The 26,517-nt window shown below is 45.4% G+C and overlaps 2 long non-coding RNA genes across 2 annotated transcripts; one reads left to right on the forward strand and one right to left on the reverse strand.

Moving 5' to 3' along the window:
* The first annotated feature begins 8,699 nt into the window (after positions 1-8,699).
* On the forward strand, positions 8,700-11,106 carry LOC105378556 (uncharacterized). The gene is made up of 2 exons (XR_946464.1): positions 8,700-8,784; positions 10,126-11,106. It is a non-coding gene; the product is annotated as an uncharacterized LOC105378556 (long non-coding RNA).
* A 3,504-nt stretch (positions 11,107-14,610) lies between these two features.
* LOC105378557 (uncharacterized) lies at positions 14,611-23,539 on the reverse strand. Its single transcript, XR_946465.2, has 3 exons — positions 23,060-23,539; positions 21,165-21,389; positions 14,611-15,541 (listed from the first exon to the last, which is right to left on the reverse strand). It is a non-coding gene; the product is annotated as an uncharacterized LOC105378557 (long non-coding RNA).
* Positions 23,540-26,517: the final 2,978 nt, after the last annotated feature.

The following is a 26,517-nucleotide window of genomic DNA, read 5'->3' on the forward strand; positions in this document are numbered from 1 at the left end:
ACATGAATTAGAACACTTCATTATAAATATGTCAAACCTGCCAAAATTAATCTATAAAGTCAACTGTAATTACAATTACAATTCCAACAGGGTTTTTGAAGAAACTTTGCAAGCTTATCTTAAAATTCTAATGAAAGAGCACGGGGTCAAGAATAATCAAGAGGATACTGAAGAAAATAAACAATGTGAGGAAACTTGCCCTCTCAGGCATCAAGACTATTATAAAGTTATATTAGATAAGAGAGTGAATTTTTGCCATAGGGAAAGAAAGAACGGCCAATGGAACAGAATGAAAGTCAAAAAATAATACCTATAGTATATTTCCATTTAGATAAAGTGGAAAAGAAAGGCACAAGTACAGAATATATTGTGTAGGGACACATATATGTGTGGAACACAGCAAAGATGACCAGAGGACCATTTATCATACAAATTGGGAAGGAGAAGGGAAGGGAATGGGATGAAGGGGTGGCCCACACAAATGCTCTAAAATACCGGAAATGTTCTATGTCATAGCATAACTGATGGCTTCTTATTTTGCTTTATTGGCTTATAATAATCCTTAAGTGTGTGTGTGGGGGGGGTGGGGGGTGTGGGTGGGTGTGTGTGTGTGCCCCTCTTCAGTTTGTATGGTAAATTTTACAATGCAATATTTTAATGACTAGCAAAATAATGGATTATTCAATAAATGAAGCTGTGACAATTGGTTATTCATGAGGAAAATGTAAAATCAGATACCTACTTTTTACATTCAAATGTCTCACCAATAGATTTAAGACCTACGTGTGAGAACCAACTTTGTCACTTTTCTAGTAACTGGATGTCACTTTTCTAGTAACTGAACGGTCCAGTAACAGTAGGCTCTTATGGCACAGAAACTTTTCTTAAACAAACGTAAAAAGCATAAGATGTAAATTAAAATATTAATAATTTTTTGATAATATCAATATTAAAACATCCACATCAAAAGACATAGTAAAATAATGTGGAAAAACAAGCCATAGAATGTGAGAAAATATTTGCAATATGCATAAGAAAGAAATTATTATACCCAGATACACATATTGTATTTTTAAAACATGCTTTCTAATCAATAATAAAAAACCAGATACCACAATAGGAAAATGACCCAGTAATAAGAACACGCAGTTTGCACAAGATGAAAGTAAATGGCCAATAAATATAGACAAGCCTCTACTTCATGAGTAATTAGGGGAATGCAAATTAAAACAAGGAGCTATCAATCCACACCCAACTATTGGCAAATGTTTTTAAATGGGGCAATTACAACTTTTGTAAGGTGAAGGGGGAAGGAGAATTTCCATACCCACCAGTATGAATGTACAATGGTACCTAATTTTGGAGAGTAATTGGGGGCTATCTAACAAATTTTAAGACACTTGTACCCTATGACTTAGCAATGTGATTTCTCAATGGAAACTTTTGCTTCTGTGTGTAAGAGTTAGAATGAGACATGTACTGAAAAAGAACATCCAAGTCCATCGTATTGGTTATAGGGGGAAATGGAAAACAGGCTAACTAGCCATCAATAGGAGAATGGATAGACAGCATCAGAGTCCTACAATAAAAAAAAAACAACAACATAGAGAGGATAAAATAGATTTACTAGAGTTATATATGCAAGCTCAAAAACATAATGTTCAGTGGAAAAATTTTAAAAAAAAACAAGGGTAGTTGGGTGCAGCCGTTTGCACCTATAGTCCCAGCTACTCAGGCTAAAGTAGGAGGATCACTTGAGTCCAGGAGTTCAGGGCAGCAGTGAGCTAGGATTGCACTTGTGAATAGCCACTGCACTCCAGCCTGGGCAATATAGCAAAACCCCATCTCAAAAAAAAAAAAAATCAATAACAACAACAACGAAAAGGCATACAGACAGTATGATACCATAGCTTTATTTTTTTTTAAGTCTACACACCACTGTCAGATAACTTATTGAAACATAAGTATCTTGTAAAAGTATAAAAATATGCATAGGAATGATGACCACTGAGTGATTCTAAGGGGGATAGAGAGGGCTAGGATCACAGAGCGGCACGCAGGGGTCCATTTCATCTCTAATGTCAGGGTTTGATAATAACGGTGAGCAAATGGGTAGTTGTTAGGCTCTCTTACTTTTGGAATGCTTGAAATAGTACCTGATTTTAAGAAGGACATTTTCATAAAGAGGACTAAAGCGCCTCTGGTGGGAATATCTCCCACCAGAGATATCTGCCATTGCTAACGCCCAGTGCCATGAATTCACACGGGCGCCTCATCACCAAAGAGACACAACCTGCCACTGAGAAGATGACCTGTATTTCTTAATATGACGTCAACTTACTTTATGCCACAGCCACGACTGACAAGAAGGCAAGAAGGAAGAAAATTTTCTCTAAAAATGAAGGAAATGTTGCTGTTTACGAAGCAGTCCAAATGTAATGAATATTTATAGGTCACGAAATCTAACCTGCCAAGGCACTCTGATTAATAACAGAGTGGGATAACACAACCTGGTAACCTTTTATGATAAATTATAGGCTGTACATCGGTGGTCTGGGACTGGCAGGGGGTGAATCCCTGTCCTGGCCGCCTCCTCCTGAAGGACTTCACATGGAGAGTGGCAGGCTCCGAGAGCTGTGGACAGCAGCGCAGCCACCCGAACCCCTGTGAGGGGTCAGGCAAGGATATGGAGAGTGGCAGGCTCTGAGGGCCGTGGACAGGGGCACAGCCACCTGAACCCCAGGCGTGGATAGAAAGTTGTGAAACTCTGGGATGTGCTTGAGATTTCTGTCAACTGGAGGAACAGACGGATTTAGGGGAGGTGGGCCTGAGAGAAAACGCAGCAGTTTTCTCTTTCTGCGGAGATCTGCTATCAAACCACCTCAGCCTCAATGGGATGAAAGTCCACGGCAGGTAACCTTTCTCTCGGCATCCTGTCCGTCTTCCACAGAAGAGAGCCTGCATCAGGCCGGGTGTTGATGACTCAGAAATAAATGGTCTGCTGTTGATATGCGTGTTTTAACCCCTGTGAACATTAATGAGAGTTTTGTGTACGTATTGATTGCCAAAGAGGCCTAAAGTTTAAAGCATTCATTCTGAATTCCAAGATATTTGTCAATTCCTCCCAGACCCTCGGTCCTCATCAGCACTTGGTATTTTGAACTTCTTTTCTCTGCATATTTTAAAAGAAGAAATGTAGGGGCTTATCTAATCTGATCCTATGAATCTGAAACCCACATCATTTAATGGGTCCGTCGATATACATCCATATTTAGGCTGAGATGAATGGGCATGGCTGCGCATTCGCCTTGGCAGCAAGGCTGGGCATCAATCATGAAGATTAGTCCTCACGCAGACACATCAGCCATTTGGCATCCTGGTGCCCCCAGCCCCCACCTGATATGGTTGAAGACACTTCCAATATATCAATAATGATCTGTGTCCAAAAACTTCTCAGGGGGATCACATGAGCTGGGGGGAGATATATTTCCTCATGCCCGTATTACAGTCTGGTTGCCTCTGCTTCCTGGAACCCCAGAGGTGACCTCCCAAGCTTTCTGAAATATGGACCAATTTAGCTTACACCTGCAGATGTCACTGGCCACAGCAGCTCTCCAGCAGAGAGAGCTAAGGTCCCAGTGAGTGGGTATTGGAAGGAGTCGGCCTTGACAGCTCTGGTTTTGGGGTGCAGTGTGGAGAAGCTTGCTCCAAACCCACTGTCCTTTCTCACAACCGCCCCATCTGCCAAGCACTGGCTCCCACCTTCAGACCAGTCTATTTTCACTGCCTTACAGACCATGGTGACTTTTCCTTTTAAATGCCTCCTGGCAGCTTCCCCAGGTGTTGCAGTCTACTTGGGGTTCCTGGGGGGATCGGAGGACTCACAGAGCCCTGCCCCGGCTGCCCAGCTCCCGGCTCTGTGGATCCACAGAGAACAGCCCTGGACACAGCCCCACCTGCCTCCACTTCCCACCCATGTGGCCTGCGTGAGTTAGGGACCCTCTCAAAGGCTCAATTTCTGAACCTTTCCGCATAAGGACCAAACTACCCACCTTAGAGTCTGGGGAGAGCCGAACTGATGTGCTGGGGACCACGCTGGGCGTCTGCTGGTGAAAGCCCACGTGCCGTGTCCACTCAGAGGGGCTGTATTTTCCTCCCCAGCATCATCCCAGAGCCTAAGTGTACAAAGGGAGGTGGAAACAGAGAAACAGTAGAAATGAACACAGGTTCCTGAATGACAGGGAACTGGGGAAGGTGGTGTGGCTTGCGCCACACACGAGTGCCTTCACTAAGGGCCCAGTGAGACAAGGCCAGCCAATAAAACACAGGGTGCCCGGCCAGATTTGAATTTCAGATACGCAATGAATGCTTCGTAGTATAAGAAGTTTTTAGTATACTTACACTTACATAATCACTTACAAGTTCTTCCTTGTTCACCTGGAATTCAAATTAACTAACCTGGGGAGAGAAGGAGGCAGGGAGAAGTCGCAGCTTAACAGGTGAGAGAAACAAGGATCGCACAAGTCCCTGGAAACGCAGAGACAGGAGGAGCCAGACGAGCAGGTGCCAAGTCCCCAGGTGTGGCGAGTGGAGCCTCGGGAGGAGGCACTGGGCAGCTGGACTGTGCTGTACCCTCCGCTTCCCCACACACAGGCACTGAGCAGAGGCCACGCCGCTCACTTCTGGGGGGACCCAAGGCACTTACATAAGTAAAGCAGCTCTTTCAGCTCTTCTGCAGACTCAGGTAGGGTGGGGTTTGTTTTTTCTTAATCTTTAGTAAAGGACCAGGCAGAAAGATCAACAGTTCATCCTATGCTTATATTTGGGAGGGAATCAAAGGAGGAAAGAAGCTTAGTCTCCTACTGAGGAAAATATCTGAACTTAATTACTTGGAGCCCAATTAATATTGGAGAAGATGCTCTGGTTCTCAGAGGACGGTTACGTCATCCCTCACGCAGATGCACTGTGTCCTCCCGCGGGGATTTCTAAGATCAGAAGAACATTTAACTTACATGTTACAGGAATTTTGCAGTTTGGGACAGCTTATAAATGAAAATATAACAGCTTAAACAGGTCACTCACTCTTTTACTCATCAGGAAAGTTTCAGGCAGTGGCCTGGACTGAAGGACGCTATCCCCTCTCCCCGGGAGAAACAGCCTAGGGTGGTCAACAAGGTACCAACTGCAGGCCAGATCCAGCCCACTGCCTTCTTTATGTGACCTGTGAGCTAAGAATGGTGTTTACCATTTTAAATAGTTGAAAAAAAAAATCCAAAGAACAAATTACCTTGTGGCACATGGAAATTCTATAAAATTCAAACTTCAGTGTCTATAATGAAGTTCTGTGGGAACCCAGCCAAGCACATGCACGTTTATGCATTGTTGATGGTTGTCTTACTGACACAAGGCAGGACTGACTAATCGCAGCATCTGCAAAGATGAAAATACTTACTACCTGACCAATAGAAAAAAGTTTGCCAACATGAAAATATAACTGCAGCACAATGCAGCAAGTGCTCCCAGGGGGCATGAATAAACGCAGAGGGTAGGAGGCTGCTGGAGGAAGCTGCAAAAGGCCTTGGGACTCTTATGGGTGTGCCAGGGATGAGAGTGAACATACTGGGAAGGAGAAACCTTGATGAGATGCACCTACAGGAGCTTACGGGGCACAGAAGATGCTCTACACAGACACACAATGGCACGTGGACACTGACTTAGAAAGAAAGGAAGCCTGTTTTGTAACTGTTAAATACATTCATGAGAGGACAAACTCTGGGATGAAATAGTTTTCAAAATAGTAAAATGAAGTTTTTCTAATTTAAATATCCATCATGATGTTCTAGACTTCCTGCCTCTGAAAGCCCTTGTACTTCCATCCATCCCTTCTCCTTCCTGAGTCTTTAACCTGTCTACTAGATTCTTCCTTTAATGAGTCTGCAAAAGCCCACAACAAGAAAACCTCTCCGTACCCCCATCCCCTTCCTGATTCCTCCCATTATACTCTTCACCCTAACGTGAACCTCCTCCCCGGATCGCCTCTAAGAGCTGTCGACACTTCCCAACCTCCTATGCTTTCCTGACTGGTTCTGCTTCTGTTTCTCCACTTCTCTGACCAACGTCAACAATGATTTCCCTGTTGTGAGGTCAAATGGGCATCAAAAAGCCTCATCTTCCACAGATTCTCAGCTGCCTCCAGTCCTGCTAACGTCTCTCCTTCTTGTAACACTTTCTTCCCTCGGCTTTCATGATTCCATCATTTTCTCGTTTTCTTCTTACCTCTCCATCTTCTTCTCTTGACCCGACTTGGCCTCTCATCTTTCTCTTTTAAATGTTAAAGTGTCTTAAGACCCAGTTATTTCTCATATCTTGTTCTCTCCCACTAGGTGATCTTAACCTGCCTCGTCATCCATATTGGCGTCATGATCTAACCAAAATCAGCTCACGGCCGAGCGTGAGTGTCTCGCTTCTGTAATCCCAGCACTTTGGGAAGCCAAGTCAGGAGCATCAGCGGATCACTTGAGGCCAGGAGTTGGAGACCAGCCTAGTCAACAGAGCGAGACCCTGTCTCTAAAATCTAATAAAAATAATAAATAAATAAATAAAAACAGTTCATGAGAAAGACTTTTTCCTTCTTCAGGGAGAGTCAGCCAGATTTGTCTTTTCTGAAACCCCACTGGAAGAATTAGATTAGTTCCCTTCCCTGAAAACCTTAAAAAAATCCCCTTCATAGATGTAAGCACTCTCATCTTCCATTAATGGTTTATCTGTCCTTTCCCTATTGGGGTTAAGTCATCTTCATTCTGAAAACTAACAAAGGCTCCATAGTAGATGCTCAATAAACACACAAATGGACTGAAGAGAGGATCATGATGGTAAAGCACTTGGGGCATCATTAGAAAGAATAAGGACTTACATATCCCAGACCTGAATAGGCCTTCTATAATTTCCCAGTGTCTTATTAAACTCAAGATATTTTCATAACATAAAAAGTAATTCTGACAACATTTTAGATCATGGAGCTAAGCATGCTTCTGTTGGTTGGAACCGTGGCTCTGCTGCTTACTGGCTGTGTGACTCTAGGAAAGTGCCTTCACATGTCTGAGCTACGGCTCTTCAACTACCAGATGAGTTCAATGGTAGCCCCCCCTTGGACTTTTTGAAAAAAACCAAATAGCGTATCTCACATCAAGTGCTAAGGGCAGTGTGTGGCACACAATAATAATTGAATAAATAATAGTGAAAACTCAATCTCCAGGCAGTAAAATAAGGAAACAGTAGGAGAGAAAAACAGGGAAACAATTCAACACAGGTACTGCCCTACACCCAGACAAGGACAAAATAGTTTCATAAAATATAGGAAATGCCAAAAGGCTGTCTTAATTCCCACTAAGGAGCAATGGCTCACCCCACCTTCACACTGACCCAGCAATAAAGCCAGGAGACAGACTCACGCTGTGTTATAACCTAACCATATTATATCAGGCTTTTGTTATATGTAGTTGTTTAAGTGGATGCACAGCTTAACCTGTGGTAAATTTAAATCTGTTTAATGACTTGCATTATAACAAGCTTCTACATAAATAACAATTCCCAGGAGAGGAGGCCGTCTGGAGTCCCATTACTACCTCCTTCCTACTGATAACGCACAATGCAAACGGGATGAACTGGCTCACAGAGCGTTTATCAAACACACATTTGTGCACTGTGCAGTGCGGGGCACCCACCAAAATATGGGGAAAATTCCCATTAATCCCAGCCACAGGCAGGCCTCCCATGCTACAAACATTTGCCCACAAGAGCAGAAAACCACAGCCTGCAAGTCAACTTTAGGCTGCCCATCTACCTAAGCCTAGGGCCAGGAATTAAGGAGAGGCACCTCGCTCGGCCCTGCACACAGATCAGCAGGAGGGCAGGGCTGGACACAGAAGTGGGGACCTCAGCCTCTGGCCAGGCCTCGGGACCCCTGCGGCATCAGTAGATTTCAGTGTAAATCTCTAAGAAACTCCTGACAGACAGGCCCCGGGACAGCCATGCAATTACTGCTGATGGCCGACCTTCCACGAGGTACCTTTGAATTATAGGAATCTTATTAGAAGCCTCTGACCTCTTGAATTTGCGAGGTAGAAATCGCCTGAAAATCCAATACTCTTATTTATGCCAGCTCTGCAAAAAGGGAAAAAGTAACTATAAGCAGACAGATGGACAGACAGACATGCATCTGTGTTCAAAAGACAAATGCTCTTCTTGCCCAGAGGGCTCCTCATACCATAGCTAGCTGGGTGCCCAAAGCCAACAGCCCTTCTGGTCTTTGATTCAGGCTCTGCAGAAAAAGTTTTAGTCCCCTGTTATTTCAGAGGAGTAGAGGGAATAAGCAAAACAAAGCAAACAAACAAGAGTTTCATCTGTACTTGTGCTGCTCCCCTCTCCCTTGGGCTTGGGAGAAGCCAGAAGAGTGGGGAGGGTGGAGTGAGAATGTCCCCACTGGGCTTCTAGAAGACAAGGAGGGGCGGGGCTTGTGCTGAATGGGTGGGGCATGCTAGGGAGGGTGGGGCCAGTGCAGGGGGAGGAGCTAGAATTTCCCAGGGCTAATTTAAGAGTGGTGAGCCATCCAGGGAAAGGGGTGGGACTAAGGCAATGGGCGTGGCCAACCGAGGAGGCAGAGGTAGTAAAGAGAGCCAACCGTTATAACTGAGGGAGGGCTTCTCAGACGTGGTTGGAGGAGAAGGGGTGGAGCTAGGAAAGAGGGACGGAGTTAATGTGGGAAGGAGGAGCAGGACCAAGGAGGTATTTCACAATTTATCCTTTCAGTGGGGGGAATCTCATTTTTTTAATTAAAAAAATTAATTAAGAAATTTTAAAGCCCTGGGGAAAGTGACCAGGCCACCTGGTGCCAACACATCACATGGCCTTTAATTTTCCTTTTCTGTATAAGCCACGCACTGATCCATTCAGAATTCCAGGTATGGGGGACTCCTGCCTCCAGCCTGGAGTACTCTGCTAGGAAGACCCTGATGACATCAGGCATCCCAGAAACTCTGTCGTCTTGCTAACCTGCATCTAGTCAGTGTGTGTTATGAAAGCTGTTTAGGTTCAAGGGTGTTTCACTAGCACAGCTTACTGGGGACTGCATTTTCTCTGGGGTGCTTGGCAAGCTCTACATCAAAGCCTGATTGAGCAGAAAATATGTGCTAATGTTCACAGCAGTACTCTATTATAGTATAAGTGTGCTTGTAAATATTCACTACATGTTATTACGCCATTTGAACCAAGAATATTGGAAGGTGAAAGGTCGGCCTAATGCTCTCTCCGGAGGCAGCAGTTTTGAATATAACCAAATGGGATAATGGTCGGGAATACCCAGAGGGGGCAATGGAACACGTCGTAAAGAATTGTGCTGTGAGTTTTAAGTTTTCAGGACAACAAAGATGCCAAGAGATGGCTCATAAGCAGTCATTATTAATGGAATGACAAGGCTAATGTTAAGCAGAATGTCTTTGCGACAATAAATCTTGTCCCTGCGCCATTAGTACTCCTTACAACTGCAAATAGCAGTTAGGTTATAACCTAACATGGCAGAATTTTATCCTCTCAATCTCTAATGTATTTTATAATGCTGTTAAAGTCAGGAATCGCAACTGTTTAAGCTCACTTAATCTAGGAGAAGTTTAAACACGAATTTTAAATGCAAAAACTGCTTTGATATTAGTTTTTCTTAATTAAAGAGGAGATCTTTATAAGAAGTAGATCTTTTTAAAAGTGCGTCAGCCTGTAGTAGATGGGCATTGTTGAATATTAAGTGCCATACTTTTATTCATACTCAACTTGGACTGCCCCGTGCGATAAGTCATATTTTTAAAAAAACGAAACGCATTACTTTTGTGGGAGAGCCAGGTCGCACATTTATTTGTTTAACTTCAAATGTACATTGTGTTCAAGCTCCTATTGGGAATGGATTAATCTTTTAAAATAACTTATTTGTATGCATTTTCCACACAGTTCCTTTTGAAATTATGTTCTAATGATTGCCCTGTCTTCCCATTTGACCTCCTTATATATAACAGAATACTTTGGAGAAAAAAATGATTATTAACCCCCGCTTTTTTATTTTTCCTTCTACATGACCAGAAGAACACTGAGAACCAGAAATTAGTACTGAAACTGGAGAGCATCCCGAATGGAAACAGCAGCCACCAACCTCCACAGGGCCTGCCGGGACCACCCTGCAGGGTGGTGGCCTGGGAGAGGACCCCATGCCACAGCCAGGGCCCATGTGAGATGGTGTATAGAGGGACTGTGCTTTGGGGCTGCCATCACTGCAGATACCTGAGGGGAAGGCTCCAGCTCTTCTGTCCCCACCCCAGAATCTGCTGTGCACTGAAGGCAAAGGACTCTAGGGTGGCCTGACCCAGCCAGGGCTGTAGGGTGAAGCCCACTTGCCTCCAGCTGCACAGTTGGCCACAGAACATCTGGGATACCTGGCCAAGCCTGGGAGGCAGCTCTCACCAATACCCTCCATGTGCCCTGTAGAATTTCCACCGTGTTCACTGAGAGCACTCTCCATCAGCAAAAAGGATCCATGGTGCTGCTCATTCTGGCCACTGGTCCCCACTCCTTATGAAGGCATCTCCCTCAGAACATGGTCTCCAAGGGCCCGAGGGTGTGTCCTCACAGAACATTCTGCACAGCATTGAGTAGCAGGTTGCTAAAGCTGGAAGCTCCTTGAAGCTTTTCCAGCGGCCCCTTTGGAGGAAATTCAGGGTCGCTGATCAATTTCAGTTACTTCACAATGCAAAACTTCAAGCTTGCTGCCTTGTTAACAACAATCGTCAACACTTGTGTGTCTCTTCATGGCATACACATGCACTCTCACATCTATTACTTCATCCGTTTTCACAATCCATCTCGAGGATGAGGAAACTGAGGCAGGGAGGGGGCCTAGGCTTGAACCGTGGTCCTCTGAGTCTTAGTCTGACTCCCACCTCTGGATCCAACTGCTTCTCATCCTGTGTGGCATGAAGTATCACTGATTTCTAGATTGTAACATTGTAAAGTCGCTTTTAGATCCCTGCAACAATACTGTATTACCAATGTGAAGGAAATGGCACATTTTGATTGCTGTAATTCTTACGTTTTAAATAATCAACACAAAAATGTTTTCAATTCTTCTTGACATAAAATCTCCCCATATCTTTTGACTCTTCCATCAAACAACTGTTTTTAACCTTTTAGCCTAGAATAATAAAACTGGAAGGAGCTTAGGGCCACTATACAGGTAAGAAATTAAAATGCAAAAGGGAAGAAACATCTTTGATCCAGGGGTGAGGGAGGTCTAGTGCCCAAGTAAGTCCAGGATTCCACAAGCTCTGTGTTTGCTGAAGCATGTTAGTTCACTACCTGACCTGAACTTCTAATTCCTACAGGAGTCACAACAAGACAAGATCGGGCCAAATGGGCTGAAGTAAAAAGGTCTCCATGCGGGTTACATGAAAAAAGCAAGCTACAAACTATGCATAATGTACCCCCATCACACATGCACACATGAATGTCTACATGCACACATGCAGGTGCATGCATACACAGGCATGCATACATGCATACACAGGCATGCATACATGCATGTGTGTATAAGTATACATGTGCACACATATAAACATATGCATACATACACCCACACATGCATACACCCCCACATGCACATGCACACTATATTTCCAGGTGTGCATATATCTGGAAGAAGGGCACACAGAGAGCTGATATCAGTGGTTCCCCTGGGGAAGGACACTGGGATAGACATGGGAGAGGCAAGGAATTTGACTTTACTTGATTGTTGAACATTCTTAAGTTTACAAGAATTTTTAAAAATTCTTATACAGATAAACATGGATCTTTTCAGATCACTGTTGCTGAAACGAATGAGAAGGGGCCTGGCTGGGCCTGAGTAGTATGACAAGTGCCCCCAAGTATCCTGCAGCCCTTGGATCTTTTCCTGGAAGATGCTATTTTCAAGTAACCTCGGAGCCTCATGCTGAGCCGATGAAACTTCAGGGCTGCAGGGTCAGAAGGAGAGAGCTCTCCCTTGGTTTTCAAAGGTTCCGGCTCTGCCCTGCACGGTGGGCATCACAGCAGGGCTCTGGGCCCCTCTGCCCAGGCCCGGGCTCCTCAGGCAGCCGGCTGAGCCCACACTCCTGGGAGCCGCCAGGGAGCCTGGCCTCTCCAGCAGCAGCTGGACGCTGAGAGGCTGCCCAGGCAGGCTCTGCCCAGCCAGGGTGGGAACTGCGATCCGCCACCCAGAGGGATGTGCTTTAATTGAAAATTTATGTTTAATTGAAGAGTCACCTGTTTCATGTGAGATCAGAGAGCAGGCTCCCCTCAGATTTGTAATGGGGACAAGAAGTATATCATTACATGTTTACTTTGTAAGGAAAGGAAGTTTCATATTTAATTCATACAAGGATTCCTTGGCTAGGAAAGAAAGGTTTTTAAAAGCCAGGTTCACATGGCAGATATTTAAAACACCCAACATCTTTATTGCACAGGTTTCTGTTTTGTTGGCTCATATCCTTCTAAACACGGCGGTCAACAGAAGGGAAAGCACTAGAAAGGCTGCATTGTCCTCAAATCATTTAAGAATTACTGTGAGCTTGAAAGCCAACTTAGAAATCAATGCCATTAGAAAAAAAGTGTGCAGAAATACAATTAAGGGATAATAACTTTATTATATAAATAGCTCATACAAATGGGGAAGAAAAACATAAACATCCCAATAGATTAATGGGAAAGGGACAGAAACAAGCAATTCCAAGGGGATAGAATGCAAAGCATAATGCGACAAAAACCATTTAACCTCACGGTTAATAATAAAATGAATATGAAACATGGCACCATTTTTGACCCATCCAACCAGCAGAAATTTTTAATGGTAATATCCAAAACTGAGATGGAGTGGTGAAATCGGAAATTCTCACATAGTGCTGGGGGCAGGAGAAACCAGCGCAGCACTTCTGGAAGAAAATTTGGCTGGGAGTAATGTAAGCCTTAAAATATTCATGTCGTTTGACCTCATAATTTTGTTCTGGGAATCTAACCAAAGAAAACGATCTAAATATATCAAACTTTATAAAGATGTTCAGAGAAGTGTTATTTATAATAACAAAAACTTTAAAACAGCCTAAATGTCAAAATAAATAAATAAATAAAAGAATGGCTAAGCAAATTACAGTTGTTGCATTTACTAGAATATTATGGAATCATTACAAACTATACTTATACAGACTATATTATAATGTTTTTTGAACATTCTCATCAAAGGGAGAATTAAACAAATCGAAGTTTATATTCTGATTGATTACAATGAAAAAACAAACCTACAGGAAAGAATAAGTCTGAAAGAAAATGTGCTAATATATTAATTACATCTGGGAACAATGAATGATGTCAGTGCCTTTTTGCTTGTTTGCTTAGTTTCCAAAATACTCCTCATGACAGTGTATTACATTTTAAATAAATATAAAAACACATTTTAATTGTTTTTCTACTTTAAAAAAAAAAACCCTGGGAAGATAGATTGTAGTGGGAAGTTTCAGGTTAGCCCCTCGTTTTACCGGTCAGGGTATGGAAGCTAAGAGGCTCTGCAGTGCCCTAAACCACAGCACTAATTAGAGAATGGCACCTCTGTAGAATTTGTCACTCAGTATTTGTTAATTGTATCAACTCCCATTAATTAATTAATTCTAGAGGGATATTATTTTCTAACTAGGAGCATGTCCTGGGGAAAATCACTACTTCTCTCTCTCACCCAACAAACATGCTTTGAGCCCTCTGCCGGAAAAACAGAGGAGCAAAGGCGGGATAACAGGGCCACGCAGCAAGTGCCACAACACCCCACACGGGCAACCTTCGCTTCACTGATGAGCACTCAGAGAATGATTTTAAAGGAAAACATAACTTACTGGCTAAAAACTAAGTACCTGCCAGATAGTAGGAATTAATGGGATCATTTCATGAAATAAAAACTTCTACTTTGGTCAATGTAGCAAATTTCACTTGCAGACCTGTTTGAAAAATAAGCACATCTTCAGAATGGTCCAAACGTCAGTCAAAGATCCTGTCCACCTACACGTGGAGGAATCCACATGGTGGTCAGGACCTTGCGACATGGGCAAGGAGGGTGACATGCGGCAGGGAGAATGCCACATCGGCTTCCTGCAGGGTGACAGGAACCCCTCCTTTGGGGCCCATTCCTCTGCATCCAGCCCCCTCCTCTCAGACGCTGTATGGAGCCAAAGTCTGAAGCCTGGGGAGCCCCTTCCTGGCGGTGATTGTGCAGCTGATTCTGGACAAGCCACACAGTCTTGATCACTTTTTCAGAGCTTAACACCGCGAGAGTAATGCCACTGGATCTTATCAGCTCCACCGAAACCGCTTGCTGGTATAAAGATAAATTGGGACTACTAATGCCTAGTGAATACATTACTCTATACTTCTTTTACTTAGTGAAACAGTTAATTAGTATTTACTCGAAAATTACTATCAATTACTAAAAATGACTACAAATTACTAGCAAAATGGATAAATTTTCTCTCTACCACCAAAATAAATTCAATTACTAACTTTGAGTAATTGCGGGTAATTTATTTCTTGGAGGGCAGAGAGCTTATAGACAAACTGGAAGGAGATGATGAAGATACGCGGCGTGGCTGATTTATGAGGGGAACTTTAATAGCTAAATCTGGGTGGTTGAGCAAGAAAGCAGAAACACCGCCGCAAGATACCCACAAACAGCTGCCCAGCAAGCAGAGTCTCTCTGTGGCTTAGCCCAGGATTGGGGGAAGGCTGCGGTGCCGAGATCAATCTAATCAGGAGCTTTCTGCAAAAATACTTAGAGGTTTCCTTGATGGTGAAATCTGAGACCCTAATATGGTCTCCCAAAGGGAAGTTGTCAACACCCGAATCTTAAACAGGACAAAAGGAGAGAGAATACTTTGCAGAATGATTGCAGAGGTTTTCCTTAGAGGGAAAGGGAAGATTTAGATGCCAAGTTTTACACGATTTGTTCCCCTTCAGGTTTCAGCAAAAGAAAAATGTCTTCTGTCCCCCAAGCCTGACATAGGAGCAATCACAAAGACCAGCAGCTGCCAATAGTGGGGTTTGGTCCCTGCAGGAAGTTCACAGCCCTGTCCCTGCTACTTGGGCACCAGGGGGGTGCACAGATTGTGAGGTGGCCATGAACAGTCATCCTTTAAACTGGCACCTCCTGTCCACACTGGATGCGCCTACACCATCTTCACCCCCGGGAAGTCTCCGGCCCAGAGTGCTGCAGATGCCAGCTATTTCGGAAAAGCCGTGTAGAAAGCACATTAGTGAGTACTGAATGACATCTGAATGATGCAGAAGATCATTACAAATGATGACTCGGATTTCCCAAGTCGGGGATGCAGTGAGGCATCATGGTGGTTTCAAGTCCAGTTGTCCAGAATTCCAAATCTTCCAAACTGTGTGACTTACAGCAAAACACTTAGCCAAGCTCAGTCTGTCTCTTCATCTGTAAAACAAAACTCAAAATATGACTTCAGATTAAACAAATTGTGGTACATTCATACAGTGAAATAGTGGTCAGCAATAAAAAAACAAATGAGATTTTGCTCCATGAAAAGACACGGAGGAAACTTATATATAAATCAGGCGGCGAAAGAAGACGAGGTACTGCACGATTCCAGCCATGTGACATCCTAGAGAGGGTAAAACTATGGGGTCAGGAAACAGATGAGCAGCCAGAGTACGGGAGAAGGAGGGATGGGTAGGCGGAGCACGGGATTTGGTAGGCAATGAAACTATTGTGTATGAGACTGTGATGACGGATACGTGATGTCACACATAGGTGCAAACCCGTAGAAGGTGCATCACCAAGAGCAAGCCCTAATGGAAACTCTGGACGTTAGTTACCATTAAGGCACCAATATTGGTTCATCCACTGTAATGGATGCACCACACTGATGCAAGATGTTCACAGTATGTGTGAGGAGGGACAGCCTGTGCAGGAACTCTATACTTTCCACTCAGTGTTCCTAAATGGAAAATTGCCCTGAAAAATAAAATCTAAAATGCAAACAGCTACTTCACAGGGCTGCTCTCAGCACCAAGGGAGGCAGAGTCATAACTTGGAAATGGCACAGGCAGAAGTCAAAGTGACTTAGCCTGGACCTGGGCTTGGCCCTGGTGTTCAAGCCACACACAATGTGGGATTTCCATGCCCATCCTCGCCCCCTTACGGGTCTGCATGGTGACAGGGTCAGTTCAGCAGTCAGTAAGAACAGACCGTGGCCCCAAGAACGACATCCTCAAATCCCACATGCGAGCAGCACGTCCCTTCCCTGGGGAGTCCCCCAAGAGGCCAGGGCTGGAGGGTTGGTGGCAAAGGCGAGTTAGTGGATGACGAGGAACCTTGGTTCACTGTCTGTGCCACCAAAACACAGTCGGTCCACTTCCGGGAGTCCAGGCCTCCCTCCAGGACCAACCACTGGGCCTGTCGTCTCGGAGGCCTTTCTCACTTCTCAAAGCTTGGCCGGTTTCTCTCCCAGGGAGCCAATGCACTGGGACACTTTGGTGTGTGAGCAGCTCCTCCTAATGCCCTCTGCTTTCTGTTCACACTGGTTTAGGCATTCAGTCATAATGTCACAGCATCCCGGATGAGGACGCTCCTGCCAGGCCCCCGTCGGCGGGGAAATTCCTTGAAGCATTAAAACCACGCATAAGAGGAATCTCTGTCCCTTTCACCATGTTGGAGGCTCAAGATGCACAGTAATGTATTCCTGAGAGCCATATTTACCATCCTGAGTGGGGTAGTCAAGGACAAGGATGGCAGGCCGCATTTCTAGGGCCAGAAAGAGAGGTGTCTTTATATCCCACATAGAGGGTAATGCCAGGCTGAGCTCACAGCAACCACACATGCAGGTCATAAAGAGATGCAATGCAGAGGGCATCCCAGAGGTGGCTTGGGGACGGGCTGAGGACATCGTTTAATAATATGGAATGGGGCTTTTGTTCATTTATCTTAGATTCATGCCCACAACCGAGACAGAAGAGTGAGTTCTTTTGCCAAGAGAAAGAGCAGCCTCCTGTCTATGTAGCCTGAGAGACCCATACAAACACGGTGGGCCCGCCCGCTCCGTGCTGCTTTGGGGCTGGATCAAGTCCCCAAGGTGAGTAGTTTCCGTAACTCCAATGAAGACATCCTAAGGTTTTGTACCATGTCATACAATATCAATTTAACATTGGTGCTTCTGAAAAATGCTACCACCATCTGGAAAAATCAACCCAGACTACTTCCATGTAACTTGCAAAGGCATTTAAATTGGCTCTGAATACAGCCTTAAAGCAGGTTGACAGACACCCTCTGCCAACAGTTTAGTTTTGACTTCACATTGCAATTATACTCTGCAATGGAGAGGAATATGCTCAGGTGGAGTCAATCTTGGGTTGTTAGTCTAACAGTGTGAGCTGTACAGAATTTGCTGAGAACGTGTTAATAAAAACTCAAAAATAAAGAAAGTACCACATTAGCAGATTCAAGCCGCCCTCTAAGAGGTCCGGGCTTTGCTCTGGTGTGGGCTAACAGGAGCCTGTAAACAGGCTCCCTCTCGGCAGAGGGAGAGAGGCTGGGCTCCTGCGGCCCCACCTCACCAGCTTTTACAGCTGCATGCCCTGCTGCGGTGGAGCATGGGACTGGTCCCTGCACCTGTGCAGAGCAGGGGCTGACTTGGGCATGTGGCAGCTGCTACCTGTTTCCATACCCAGAACTGGCCATGGTGGTGTTGCCCGTGGATCCAGCATGGAGCAGGCCTGAGTCCCCTTCCTCTTGCAGTGGAGTGAGGAGCCCACTGTGCCCCCATCCTGGTGCCCTTGGAGCAGGGGCTGGGGGTTCCCAATGGACTGAGGCCCTTGGCACCCTCTCCAGGCCACTCCCTCACTGCCATTGGGCCACTGGGCCCTTGTCAGGGCTGGTCCTTTGGTGCTGGCGTCTGGTGTCTTCTCTTCCTCTCCAGTTCCCCAAAGGGTCAAGAGCTTGACCTTCTTGGCTAACTTCTCCCAGCCCATGGCCAGATAAACACAGGACACCAGTCAAGTCTGAATCCCAAATAAAAGTTTATTATATGTATGCCCCAGTACTTTAGTTAAAGTATCTAGGACATACTTATGCTAAAGAAACTTCTCACTGGTCTGAAACTCACAGAAACTATCCTATATTGTTTTTGAAATCCACCCCAGTCCCTCCCTGCTGGAGCTGAACTCCGTTGCTGGCCTCCATGCTGTCATCTCACATCAGCACTGTTGATTAAACAAACCTTCTGCAAACTTCTCATTGTCTGGGGACCTTTCTGAACCTTTGGGACACTGACCTAGATCACTATTAATTGTGCTGCAAATACCTTTCAAATCTGGCGATTCCAGAGTGGAGAGGGGCCACCAACGCTCCCTTGGTCAAAGTGCCCAGCCCCAACCCTTGCCAGTACCACCGTGGTCTCAGGCCGAGGCCTTTCTCCAGGACCCAAGCCACCCATGTTTCCAGGAACTGGCAAGATGCTGCCTTTCAGTCCGCTGGTGTGCACCAGACCCCAGCACGCTCCTCTTGTGTGCCATGCACTCTGCTGTGTGCGGGGATGGACAAGGATGACATGGGGCTCTCCGGACCCAAGTGGATGATTTTAACCCAAGTCAAGTCCTCACCGAAAACTTGGGCCAGATGTGTTTTGGAATTCAAATTTTTCAGATTTTAGAAAGATAATGCCTTGTAGTATGTAAATGCTATTTATAGGATATTATGCATAAGACATAATAAATCCCCCATTAGATTGCATAAATACCTGGTGGATCCAGGGCAACCTCGAACACAGCACGGGACCAGGACAAGTAAGGGAGGGGCCCAGGGCACAAGATTCAAGGAAATGCTCAGAGCCTGGGTGCCGCACCCACCTCACCCTAGCCCTGGCGCTGACAAACACCTGTGTACTTCTACAGTGACCTAGAAATACTGGCACAAGATGGACGCATAAAGACCCCAAAGAGTCACATGTCAGTTCAGGTCAGCTGGGGCCACGGATGAGTTTGGGAGCCAGATGTTAAGAAGGACTTCTTATTTTTTTGAGCTTTGTACGTGTGGCCCTGGGGGCCTGGGATGCGGAGCAGGTACATGCTGCAGCAGAGGCACGCCCGGGGCCTGCCCAGGTGAGTGAACAAGCCTCTCCAAGGCCTGGCATCTATCTCCCTCCTTCTGTCCCCCCACCCCCACCCCAGAGAGAGAAGGCACTCACTGTTAACTTTGCAGGGAAATCATGGGTGGGAAGCATAAGGACACCTTAGGAGTAATTATTTCATCCTGCTCCCCAAGCTGTGAGGCTGCCAAGGAGCTCGCTTCCCAGGCTTTAGGAACGCAGGCCACAGGAGAGAGCTGCAAATTGCTCTCTGGGCCCGGGACACTGCCCGTGAGGATGCCACCAGATTAGAGCTACACCTGAAAATGTAAAACTACTCCTCCTGTGGGCCCTCATTCCAGTGATAGGGGGATCTGCCCATCCACAGCTCGGGACCAGGTCAGTTAGAAGCTGTTGTGAGAGGCCTTTCTGAGAGCCTCCACCAAGCTCGTCCATCAGGGCAGGGCAGGGGACCCGGCCACTGTGCACCAGGATTACTTAGTGGGATGATGTCAGTTGTGCTCAGATAAAATTATAATAGTGTTCAAAGTGGACTCAAGGAAGGAGCAAGGGCAAAACTCTCCTTATATGCTGTACCTTCTCCTTCAAATCCCTTCACACTCAAGGAGTTTGTCTAAATGGACTCTTAGATAAATAGAACGACATAATTGCTTTGATATACCAACATATCTGAGTGTCAGGTTTGTGAATACATCCTCGGTACATTGAAAGAAGCGTATTAAAAGAGTAATTACTTGAAGTCAATATCATATATTCTTATTTTAAAGGAACAGTTCTCAACTCTGAAAAAATTATCATCTCTAACTGCATCATCCAATACAAGAGAGCCACTAGTCCCATATGGCTATTTAAATTTTAACTTTAATGAATTCAAACTAAATCAGTTGTAAAATTTAGCTCCTAAATTGCACTAACCACATTTCAAGCACTCATTAGCTACCTGTGGCCAGGGGCTCCCATATTGGACAGAGCAAATAAGGAGCATTCCCATCAGAGCAGAAAGTTCTATGGAATGGTACTGATCTACAGATTCAGGAATCAACACTCCATTCCTAGCAGGTCATTTCTTTCTTTTGTTTCCCACAGAAGAAGCGGCACCCATGTCATTACTGAAGTTGTTACTAAGGCTAGTGAAATTATCAGAGGCCCAGCTAGTGCCCCAGCCAAGACCTACGTGGGTGACGACCCTTGATGATGATGGCCCTGGCTAACTGTCCTCAGCCCGCACCTTGATGTCCAAGGAGATGAGGAAAGAGACCACATGGAAAGAAAGGAGGGCTGGGGGGCCAGATTTCCACTTCACTGCTGCACAGATACCGATCTCGGCAAGGCATCAGCAACCTCCTAGTGGCCGAATCCTTTACGCCCATGGGTATATACGCTCATGGACCCTTCTTCACTTTGACGTCTCTGGAGCATTTGCGACCCTGGAGCATCCTCCTTGACAAAGTCATTCTTCCCTGATTTCTGAAGTCCATGATCCCTGTTTCCTTCCCACCTCCCACCACTGTTTTCCCCACCCCCTTGGCAGACACCACCTCCCACAGGCGTGCTCTGGCCCAGACCCCTCCCCTTCTCTCCACTCACACCCCAGGCTGAAGTTCACATCTGCAGGCTGCTGGATTCTAAATCAGTTCTCTCCCCGAAGCCCCAGGCCTAGCTGCCTCTGGACATCTCCCCTTGACCAGGAGCCTCAGACAGGATGTTCCCACCCAGAGCCATCTCTCCACCACAACACCCGCCCAAGACTCCCTCCTTCCTGTGTCCTGCGGGGCTTCTCTGAGCCAGGACCTGGCAGTCGCCCCTGAGCCCTTCCTCAACTCACCCCCTGCATTCAGTCCACAACCACCACTGCTGTCACTTCCAGGTACTAAGTCTCTCTCTGGTCTCTCCACGTTTCTCCAGCCCTGCCACTGCTACTCTGATCCAGCCCAGTGCCATCTCTCAATTTATTACCTTCATGCCAACTCCTGGTTTATCCCCTGGCCTTGTCCCCTCTAGCCCGTGCTCCCCACTGTGCCAGGGAGATCTTCCACAGGTGCAAATCTGCTCTGGTCATTCTCTTCCGTCAAATGGGTCAGTGGCTCTCCATTGCCCTCAGGACAACAGCCCAACTCCCTAGAACAGCCCAGGAGTCCTCTGTGGTTGACATCTTCCAGACCATGGCTCAGCAGACTTCTCCTGTAAAGGGACAGATTGGAAATATTTTCGGCTTTTCAGGCCCATACTGTTTCAGCCTCTATGGCTCAACTCTGCCATCATGGCCCAAGGCAGCCATAGGCAATCTATAAACAAATGGTGTGATGGTGTTCAAAACAACTTTATTTATAAAAAACAAGGAGCTGGTTGGATTTGGCCCAAGGCCTGTAGTTTGCTGAAACCTGTTCTATAGATTTCCAGGTCACCTCTCACACAGATCCTGTGTGGTCTCCCCTCTGAGCCTCTACTCTTGCTATTCTTTCTTCCTGGAATCCTCTCTTTCTCCCACCCACCTCTCTACTCTTCTGCTGCAATAAACTCCAACTTGTCCAGTTCCCAAGTTAAATATCTATTTCAGCTGCGTATAGGAGTCTCCAAAAACCTGGGACCTTAAAAACTTCATGTTTGCAAGTCACGTTGATTTCAGGAAAGTAAATATTTTTGGTTTATTGCAGAAACTTAATGGAGAAAAAAATTCACATATACACACACACACACATACACACACACACATACGTTTATTCCACATCCAGGTGTAACTTACCACCATTAACATTTTTATGTCTTTTTCCCAGACTTTTTTTATATATCCATCTTTCTTACATAATTTGAAAAATAACATATAGAGGTTTGAAGTCAGACTTTTTAAAAAATATACATTCTCATGTTGTGATAAGTTATCAAAAAAATACTAACTTGAATGCCAGCATAATCGTCTATCTTACTAATGCTCCAGAATTCACCTTATGATGCCCCTTTTGGGAGTCTGTTAATTTTTCTCTACGGGAAATAGCAGTTTGCTTTCCAGTAGGGTGTCCCTGTCACACCCTCAGCAGCTGCACCCTCTTGAGCATGAGGGGTTATTTATTTAATCTCTGCTTATCCAGCAGGGGAAAATGGCGCCTCATTGCTTTAGTTTGTTGTGTCTGTTTCTTTCTTTTCCTTTCTATTTTTTTTTTTTTTTTTGAGACTGGTTGAGACAGGGTCTTGCTCTATTGCCCAGGTTGGAGAGCAGTGGGCACAGTCACAGCTCACTGCAGCCTCAACCTCCAGCAATCCTCCGGCCTCAGCCTCCTGAGTTGCTGGGACCAAAGCTCATGCCACCACACCCAGCTAATTTTTTTTTTATTATTTATTGTAGAGACAGAGTCTCCCCGTGTTGCCCAGGCTAGTCTTGAACTCCTGGGCTCAGGAAATCTGTCCACCTCAGCCTCCCAAAGTGCTGGGATTATAGGCGTGAGCCACCATTCCTGGCCTGCCCTGCTGTGCCTGTTACTTGAGAGTGAGGTTCAGGGGTGCTCCCATGGTTCTTGGCCATTTGTGTTTCCTTCTCTGTTCCAGGCCCTCTCTCTGTGGCCATGTTCTATACGCGCTAGAAACTCAGTGTATTTCAAGGACACATTCAGTGCCTGACTGGGGTCCTTGGAAGGTTGAAGTGGTCACCAATGGAGCACTGTGCTACTCATCGACCTGTCAGGGGGTTTCTGAATCCACAGCAGAGATGCGGCTGAAGATGCCTTTCCTGAAGGTATAAACAACAGCAAGGCAGGTCAGGGCATCTGTGGGAGTCACCTGCTATAATTCCAGATTAAGACCACATGCAGGAGACCTTCAGAAGAGTTTCAGGCTCCAGAGGCAATTATGTAGCTCACCTGGTGTAGAGGAGAAAATGAAAACACAAGCGGTGAAGGTGGGCCTTCTCAGGGGCCTCCTTAGACAGCACAACCAGATGGTTCGCAGAGTAGGAGACACAGCCGCCTCAGGCACACCTGAGAAGAACTCGGTCCACAGTAATCCCAGAGGCGCCTGCTATGGTTTGAATGCTGGGATCCCTCCAAAGTTCAGAGGTTAAAACTTAAACCTCACTGAGATGGTATTATGAGATGGGGCCTCTGGGAGCATTATTAAGTCATGAAGGCTTCTCCCTCGGGAGTGGGATTAATGCCCTTATGAAAGAGGCTCCAGAGAGCTACCTGGTTTCTTCTACTCTGGCCCTCTGAGGACACAAACACGGCGGCAAGACGCCATCTTGGAAGCGGCAAGACGCCATCTTGGAAGCAGGGGGCAGCCCTCCCTAGATGTCGACTCTGCCAACACCTGGACCTTGGACTTCCAGGCCTCCAGAACTGTGAAAAAATAAAGCATCTCTTCTTTATAAATTAGCCAGTCTCCGGTATTTTATAATAGTAGCGCAAATGGTCTAAGATCATGACCATCAAAACACAAGTGGTACACTATTTTTTTTTTTTAATAAAAATGCGGCTGACAATGAAAATGAGTGTGGCCCACTCATATGCGGGGAAGCGAAATAGGAATCCGTGCGACTTCAGGGAAGCCATGTGACAATGCACCTAAAAATGACCACACCCTACCCAGGAGCATCTACATCATTTTTTAAAGCTCCACAGGCAATGTTGATGCTCCCCTGTGTGTGAGAACTGCTACACTGGATGGGCTATGATGCAGCCATTCAAAATGCTATTTTTAGATGTTCAATAGCATAGGAATGGTTTTCAGCTTACATGCTTAAAGAAAAAAAGCAAGACACAAAATTATAAAATCTTTAAATACATGTAAAGAAAACTGAAAATGACATTGAAATAGTAACCTCAACTGAGTCACTCATTCTTTTATTTAACAAGTATTTTCTAGTACCGTCTATGGTTTAGGCCAGCAGTTATCAAACTAAAAATTATTGAAAACTGCAAAGAGTTTTTGTGTATATAGAACATAGCTATTGATATTTACATATTAAGGACTAAAACTGATCATTTTAAAAATATTTCATTAATTCCTCTTTAAAATAATAATAAATATAATGTTAACACAAAGAACGTATAAAGAGAGTGGTATTGTTTTACATTTTTGTAAATCTCTCTAAGTCCCACTTAATAGAAGACAGCTGGATTCCCATGTTTGCTTCGGCATTCAATTTGTTATGATATCACACTTCATGTAGACGCTGGAAAATTCCACCATATACTCATGAGAGAATGAAAGGGAAGAAGGCAAACAACATCTTAGTTGTTGGAAAACTAGTTTTGACCTTGTGTTAAGAAAATAGTTTTGACCTTGTGGACCCCTGAAAAGGTCCTGGGGACCCCAAGGGTCCACGGATCACACTTTGAGAACCACTGGTCTAGGCATTCCTCTAGGTTCTAACTGTAAGAAAAAATAATAAAAGCAAAATGAAACCAAGTTCTCTCTCTGTCTCTTATATTCTGCTAAGAGAAGAAAAAATCATGTTTATGATCTTTAGGTGGTAAGTGCCAGGAAGAAGAGGTACAGGAGGTGATGGAGAGGCTATTTCAGCTCAGCGGGCACGGAAGCCCACAGACAAGGCAATACCTAGAGGCGCACCGGTATCTGGGAAGAGCGGTTCGTTGGTGCCCACTCGGGGGTGGTTTTACGGATTGTTATGCTTCCCTGCATTGTTCAAATTTTCTTTAAGGAACAAGTACAACTTCAATTTTGAACAAGTTGGGTTTCTTTTTTTTTTTTTCATGAAGGCCTCTTGCAAGGCAGCATTCATCAATGCAACCTTGAAGCAACGGTCAACAACGTTTTGAAGCCGATTTGGAGCCCCTGCTGTTGCCCATTGGGTACTCCAGAATCACTTTCTGCTGGTTCCGCTGTGGTCATCCTAATGATCCTTGAGGGAAGGGCTCTGGGGACACAGCCGTGCAGGAGGCCAAGGACAGCCCCCAAAAATGGGAAGGACATGCATCCAGACAAAATTAATACGTACCTCATTGTTCTCTGTGGGCACTAACCTGTTTCTGGGCCTCCCCTGATGGACTCAGTTCTGCAGGGTGCAGCATGTGGCCTGACCTCCTGTGGGGGTCCATTCTCTCTGTGGCCTCTCAGCTCTGTCTCCTGCACATCCTTCTGCTTCCATTCTAAGACCTGATCACATGGCCCTCGCCACTGCCCTCCTGAGGCAGTGAGATCCCAGAAAAACAAGCCAGGCTTTGCCCAAATGAAGAAACAACAGTTTTACTTTGATTTTTTACAAACAAACAGTTTTCACTTTGTTTTTTAAGTTTTACTTTAGGTTGGTGCAAAAGTCATTGCAGTTTTTGCCATTGAAAGTAACGGTAAAAAGCTCAATTACTTTCGCACCAATCTAATATAAATAATAAGGTTGGATTTCCTAGACATATCAATGAAAACGATGCCTCTGTGTTCCCTATACTTCAGCACAAAGAGAAGATGCTCCCAGGCCCAGCGGACTGCTCGGGTCCCTTGTGTCTCAGGAGCTATAGTGGTTTCTTGTGACTGCCATAACAAATTAGCATAAACCAAGTGACGTATGACAACAGACTCTCATTCTCTCAGAGTTCTGGAGGACAAAAACCCAAAGTCAGGTTGTTGGGAGGGCTACGCTGCATCCAAAGTCTCTTGGGCAAGACCATTCCCTGTCTCTTTGGCTTCTGCTGGCCCCAGGTTTTCCTTGACTGGTGGCAGCATCTCTCGAGTCTCTGCCTCTGTCTTCACATGGCCGTCTTTCCTCTGTGCTTGTCTGTGTCATGTCACCTTCCTTTATAAGGACACTGATCAAACCGGATCAGGGACCACCCTTATCCTATATGACTTCATCTTAACTTGATTATATCTGCAAAGACCCTCTTTCCAAAAAAGGTCTCATTCATAGATACGGGGGTGAGGACTTCGACATATTTTTGGGGGGACACAATTCAACTCATATTAGGAGCCACACCCACCAAGGGAGAGACCAGAAGAGAGTGCAGGCACCAAGGCCAATAGGACTGACTAGGAAGAGGACTGTGGACAGGGCTTTGGACAAGCCAACCTGGAGGTCTTTGCTGAACCCAGCAAGAGGATCATCAGGGTAAGGAGGCAGTGAGGGCAGATCCAGCTGCAAGGAGGCTGTCTGCAGAGGGAGCACAGGACATGCAGACAGTGAGTGTATTCTGTCAAGAGGCTCGTGGCAGAGGGCAGGTGTAAAATTAAGCACTAGCTGAAGGGGGACATGAGAGGCAGGGGATAATTGAGTTTTGCCGTGTTTGTCTTTTGTTCAACTTTGGGGAATGGGCAAGACGACCTTATCGGTAGCTTTACATTTGCGGTTCCTCCCAGGGCCAACACA

This window comes from Homo sapiens, chromosome 10 (genome assembly GCF_000001405.40).
Source record: "Homo sapiens chromosome 10, GRCh38.p14 Primary Assembly".
In the NCBI taxonomy this organism is placed as follows: Eukaryota; Metazoa; Chordata; class Mammalia; order Primates; family Hominidae; genus Homo; species Homo sapiens.